We start from the raw sequence: 7,101 nt of genomic DNA on the forward strand, positions 1-7,101 counted from the left end.
GTGAAAAAAATCAAAATAGTAATCCCATTTACAATAGCCACACATAAAATTAAATACCTAGGAATTAACTTAAAGAAATTAAAAGATCTCTATAATAAAAATTATAAAACAGTAAGGAAATTAACTAAAGAAAACATCAAAAATGGAAAGATATTCCATATTCATGGATTTGAAGAATCAATATTTTTTAAATGTTTATATTACCCAAAGCAATATACAGATTCAGTGCAATCCCTATCAAAATACCAAAGACATTTTTCACAGAAATAGAAAAAAATGTAAAATGTATATGGAACCACAAAGACTCAGAATAGCAAAAGCAACCCTAAGCAAAAAGAACAAAACTGGAGGAATCACGTTACATGACTTCAAACTATACTACAGAGCTATAGTAAGCAAAAGAGCACAGCACTGGCATAAAAACAGAAACATAGATCAATTGAACAGAAGAGAGAACCAAGAAACAAGTTTACACACCTACAGTGAACTCATTTTTTACAGAGGCACCGAGAACATACACAGCAGAAAAGAGAGTCTGTTCAATAATGGTGCTGGGAAAACTGGATATCCATACTCAGAATGAAACTAGAACCCCATCTCTTGCCATATTCAAAAATCAAATCAAAATGAATTAAGGAGTTAAATCTAAGACCTCAAACTATGGAACTATTACAAGAAAAGTTGGGGAATATCTCCAGGACATTGGTCTGGGCAAAAAAATTCTTCAGCAACCTCACAAGCACAGGCAACCAAAGAAAACATGGACAAATGAGATCACAAGTTTAAAAGCTTCTGCACAGCAAAGAATACAATCACCAAAGTGAAGAGACAACCCATAGAATGAGAGAAAATATTTGCAAACTACCCATCTGACAAGGGATTCATAACCAGAATATATAAGAAAGCTCAAGCAACTCTATAGGAAAAAAATCTAATAATCTGATAAAAAAATGGGCAAAAGTAGTTTTTTGTACTTTAAAGTTCATATGGAACCAAAAAAGAGCCCGCATCGCCAAGTCAATCCTAAGCCAAAAGAACAAAGCTGGAGGCATCACACTACCTGACTTCAAACTATACTACAAGGCTACAGTAACCAAAACAGCATGGTACTGGTACCAAAACAGAGATATAGATCAATGGAACAGAACAGAGCCCTCAGAAATAATGTCGCATATCTACAACTATCTGATCTTTGACAAACCTGAGAAAAACAAGCAATGGGGAAAGGATTCCCTATTTAATAAATGGTGCTGGGAAAACTGGCTAGCCAGATGTAGAAAGCTGAAACTGGATCCCTTCCTTACACCTTATACAAAAATCAATTCAAGATGGATTAAAGATTTAAACGTTAGACCTAAAACCATAAAAACCCTAGAAGAAAACCTAGGCATTACCATTCAGGACATAGGTGTGGGCAAGGACTTCATGTCCAAAACACCAAAAGCAATGGCAACAAAAGCCAAAATTGACAAATGGGATCTAATTAAACTAAAGAGCTTCTGCACAGCAAAAGAAACTACCATCAGAGTGAACAGGCAACCTACAACATGGGAGAAAATTTTCGCAACCTACTCATCTGACAAAGGGCTAATATCCAGAATCTACAATGAACTCAAACAAATTTACAAGAAAAAAACAAACAACCCCATCAAAAAGTGGGCGAAGGACATGAACAGACACTTCTCAAAAGAAGACATGTATGCAGCCAAAAAACACATGAAGAAATGCTCATCATCACTGGCCATCAGAGAAATGCAAATCAAAACCACTATGAGATATCATCTCACACCAGTTAGAATGGCAATCATTAAAAAGTCAGGAAACAACAGGTGCTGGAGAGGATGTGGAGAAATAGGAACACTTTTACACTGTTGGTGGGACTGTAAACTAGTTCAACCATTGTGGAAGTCAGTGTGGCGATTCCTCAGGGATCTAGAACTAGAAATACCATTTGACCCAGCCATCCCATTACTGGGTATATACCCAAAGGACTATAAATCACGCTGCTATAAAGACACATGCACACGTATGTTTATTGCAGCACTATTCACAATAGCAAAGACTTGGAACCAACCCAAATGTCCAACAATGATAGACTGGATTAAGAAAATGTGGCACATATACACCATGGAATACTATGCAGCCATAAAAAATGATGAGTTCATGTCCTTTGTAGGGACATGGATGAAATTGGAAATCATCATTCTCAGTAAACTATCGCAAGAACAAAAAACCAAACACCGCATATTCTCACTCATAGGTGGGAATTGAACAATGAGATCACATGGACACAGGAAGGGGAATATCACACTCTGGGGACTGTGGTGGGGTCGGGGGAGGGGGGAGGGATAGCATTGGGAGATATACCTAATGCTAGATGACACGTTAGTGGGTGCAGCGCACCAGCATGGCACATGTATACATATGTAACTAACCTGCACAATGTGCAGATGTACCCTAAAACTTAGAGTATAATAAAAAAAAAACATTAAAAATAAAAAATAAAAATAAAAAAATAAAAATAAATGGGCAAAAGATTTGTATAGATATTTCTTAAAAAGCATATGAAAGGCAAACAGGCATATGAAAAGGTGCTCAACATCAGTGATTATCAGAGAAATGCAAATCAAAACTACAATGAAATATCATCTCACCTTAGTTACAATGGCTTACATCCAAAAGACAGGCAATAACAAATGCTGGCGAGGATGTGGAGAAAAGATAACCCCTGTACACTGTTGGTGGGAATGTAAATTCACACAACCACTAAGGAGAAAAGTTTAGAGGTTCCTCAAAAAGCTAAAAATTGAGCAATTACCATATTATTCAGCAATCCCACTGCTGAGTGTGTACCCAATAGAAAAGAAATCAATATATCAAAGAGATATCTGTACTCCTATGTTTGTTGCAGCACTGTTTACAATAGTGAAGAATTGGAAGCAACCTAAGTGTCCATCAACAAATGAATAAAGAAAGTGTGGTATATATACACAATGGAGTACTAGTCAGCCATGAACAAAAAGGGATCCTGTTATTTGCAGCAACATGGATGGAACTGGAGATCATTATGCTATGTGTAAAAAGCCAGGCACAGAAAGACAAACATCACGTCTTCTCACTTATTTGTGGGATCTAAAAATTAAGACAATTGTATTCATGCAGATAGAGAGTAGAAAGATTGTTAGTAGAGACTGGGAAGAAAAGTGGGGGACTCAGGGAGGATGTGGAGATGGTTAATGGATACAATGAAAATAGTTTAAAAGAATGAATACAACCTACTATTTGATAGTGCATTAGGTTGTCTGTAGTCAATAATAACTGAACATTTTAAAATGAAGAGTATATTTGGATTGTTTGTAACTCAAAAGATAAATGCTTGAAGAGATAGATACCCCATTCTCTATGATGTGCTTATTTCACATTGCATGCCTATATCAAAATATCCATATATCTCCTAAATATATACATTTACTATGTACACACAAAAATTGAAACTAAAACTAAAAATTAAATGTTTGTTAGAATTCAGCAGTGAAACCATTGAGTTCTGGGCTTTTCTTTACTGGAAGAATTTTTATTACAGTTTTAATCACATTACTTGTTAATGATTTGTTCAGTAGGTTGTATGTGTCTAAGAATTTTTCCATTTTTTTTTGATTTTCCAATTTATTGGCATAGTTGCTGTTAGTAGCCACTAATGATCCTTCAAATTTCAGTATCAGTTGTAATGTCTCCTTTTTCATCTCCAGTTTTACTTATTTGGATTTCTCTTTCTCTCTCTCTCTCTCCATCTCGCTCTCTCTCTCCCTCTCGCTCACTTCCTGTTTTAATTAATCTGCCTAAATGTCAATTTTATCTTCTCAAAAATCAAGGTTCAGTTTCATTCATCTTTTGTATTTTTTTATCTCAATTTCCTTTATTTCTGTTCTGTTCATTATTATTTCTTTCCTTCTACGAATCTTGAGTTTGGTTTGCTCTTGCTTTTCTAATTCTTTAAGATGCATCATTTGGTTATTTGGAGTTGTTCTTCGTTTTTTTTAAATTTTATTATTATTATACTTTAAGGTTTAGGGTACATGTGCACAATGTGCAGGTTAGTTACATATGTATACATGTGCCATGTTGGTGTGCTGCACCCATTAACTCGTCATTTAGCATTAAGTATATTTCCTAATGCTATCCCTTCCCGCCTCTCCCCACGACACAACAGTAACTGGAGTGTGATGTTCCCCTTCCTGTGTCCATGTGTTCTCATTGTTCAATTCCCACCTATGAGTGAGAATATGCGGTGTTTGGTTTTTTGTCCTTGCAATAGTTTGCTGAGAATGATGGTTTCCAGTTTCATCCATGTCCCTACAAAGGACATGAACTCATCGTTTTTTTATGTCGGCATAGCATACCATGGTGTATATGTGCCACATTTTCTTAATCCAGTCTATCATTGTTGGACATTTGGGTTGGTTCCAAGTCTTTGCTATTGTGAATAGTGCTGCAATAAACATACGTGTGCATGTGTCTTTATAGCAGCATGATTTATAGTCCTTTGGGTATATACCCAGTAATGGGAAGGCTGGTTCAAATGGTATTTCTAGTTCTACATCCATGAGGAATCGCCACACCGACTCCCACAATGGTTGAACTAGTTTACAGTCCCACCAACAGTGTAAAAGTGTTCCTATTTCTCCACATCCTCTCCAACACCTGTTGTTTCCTGACATTTTAATGATCGCCATTCTAACTGGTGTGAGATGGTATCCCATTGTGGTTTTGATTTGCATTTCTCTTACAGACAGTGAGGATGAGCATTTTTTCATGTGTTTTTCGGCTGCATAAATGTCTTCTTTTGAGAAGTGTCTGTTCATATACTTCATCTACTTTTTGATGGGGTTGTTTGTTTTTTTCTTGTAAATTTGTTTGAGTTCATTGTAGATTCTGAATATTAGCCCTTTGTCAGGTGAGTAGGTTGCGAAAATTTTTTCCCATTTCATAGGTTGCCTGTTCACTCTGATGGTAGCTTCTTTTGCTGTGCAGAAGCTCTTTAGTTGAATTAGATCCCATTTGTCAATTTTGGCTTTTGATGCCATTGCTTTTGGTGTTTTAGACATGAAGTCCTTGTCCATGCCTATGTCCTGAATGGTATTGCCTAGGTTTTCTTCTAGGGTTTTTATGGTTTAGGTCTAACCTGTAAGTCTTTAATCCATCTTGAATTAATTTTTGTATAAGGTGTAAGGGAGTGATCCAGTTTCAGCTTTCTACATCTGGCTAGCCAGTTTTCCCAGCACCATTTATTAAATAGGGAATCTTTTCTCCATTGCTTGTTTTTGTCAGGTTTGTCAAAGATCAGATGGTTGTAGATATGCGGCATTATTTCTGAGGGTTCTGTTCTGTTCCATTGATCTATATCTCTGTTTTGGTACCAGTACCATGCTGTTTTGGTTACTGTAGCCTTGTAGTATAGTTTGAAGACAGGTAGCATGATGCCTCCAGCTTTGTTCTTTTGGCTTAGGATTGACTTTGTGATGCGGGCTCTTTTTTGATTCCATATGAACTTTAAAGTAGTTTTTTCCAATTCTGTGAAGAAAGTCATTGGTAGCTTGATGGGGATGGCATTGAATCTGTAAATTACCTTGGGCAGTATGGCCATTTTCACGATATTGATTCTTCCTACCCATGAGCATGGAATGGTCTTGCATTTGTTTGTATCCTCTTCTATTTCATTGAGCAGTGGTTTGTAGTTCTCCTTGAAGAGGTCCTTCACATCCCTTGTAAGTTGGATTCCTAGGTATTTTATTCTCTTTGAAGCAATTGTGAATGGGAGTTCACTCCTGATTTGGCTCTCTGTTTGTCTCTTATTGGTGTATAAGAAAGCTTGTGACTTTTGTACAATGATTTTGTATCCTGAGACTTTGCTCTATTTGCTTATCAGTTTAAGGAGATTTTGGGCTGAGACGAAGGGGTTTTCTAGATATACAATCATGTCATCTGCAAACAGGGACAATTTGACTTCCTCTTTTCCTAATTGAATGCCATTTATTTCCTTCTCCTGCCTCATTGCCCTGGCCAGAACTTCCAACACTACGTTGAATAGGAGTGGTGAGAGAGGACATCCCTGTCTTGTGCCAGTTTTCAAAAGGAATGCTTCCAGTTTTTGCCCATTCAGTATGATATTGGCTGTGGGTTTGTCATAGCTAGCTCTTATTATTTTGAGATACATCCCATCAATACCTAATTTATTGAGAGTTTTTAGCATGAAGGGGTGTTGAATTGTGTCAAAGGCCTTTTCTGCATCTATTGAGATAATCATGTGGTTTTTGTCTTTGGTTCTGTTTATATGTTGGATTACATTTATTGATTTGCATATGTTGGACCAGCCTTGCATCCCAGGGATGAAGCCCACTTGATCATGGTGGATAAGCTTTTTGATGTGCTGCTGGATTCGGTTTGCCAGTATTTTATTGAGGATTTTTGCATCAGTGTTCATTAAGGATATTGGTCTAAAATTCTCTTTTTTGGTTTGTCTCCGCCAGGCTTTGGTATCAGGATGACGCTGGCCTCATAAAATGAGTTAGGGAGGATTCCCTCTTTTTCTATTGATTGGAATAGTTTCAGAAGGAATGGTACCAGCTCCTCCTTGTACCTCTGGTAGAATTCGGCTGTGAATCCGTCTGGTCCCGGACTCTTTTTGGTTGGTAGGCTATTGATTATTGCCACAATTTCAGCGCTTGTTATTGGTCAACTCAGAGATTCAACTTCTTCCTGGTTTAGTCTTGCGAGGGTGTATGTGTCGAGGAATTTATCCATTTCGTCTAGATTTTCTAGTTTATTTGCATAGAGGTGTTTGCAGTATTCTCTGATGGTAGTTTGTATTTCTGTGGGATTGGTGGTTATGTCTCCTTTATCATTTTTTATTGCATCTATTTGATTCTTCTCTCTTTTTCTTTATTAGTCTTGCTGGCGGTCTATCAATTTTGTCGATCTTTTCAAAAAGCAGCTCCTGGATTCATTAATTTTTTGAAGGGTTTTTTGTGTCTCTATTTCCTTCAGTTCTACTCTGATTTTAGTTATTTCTTCCCTTCTGCTAGCTTTTGAATGTGTTTGCTC

This window comes from Homo sapiens, chromosome X (genome assembly GCF_000001405.40).
Source record: "Homo sapiens chromosome X, GRCh38.p14 Primary Assembly".
NCBI lineage: Eukaryota > Metazoa > Chordata > Mammalia > Primates > Hominidae > Homo > Homo sapiens.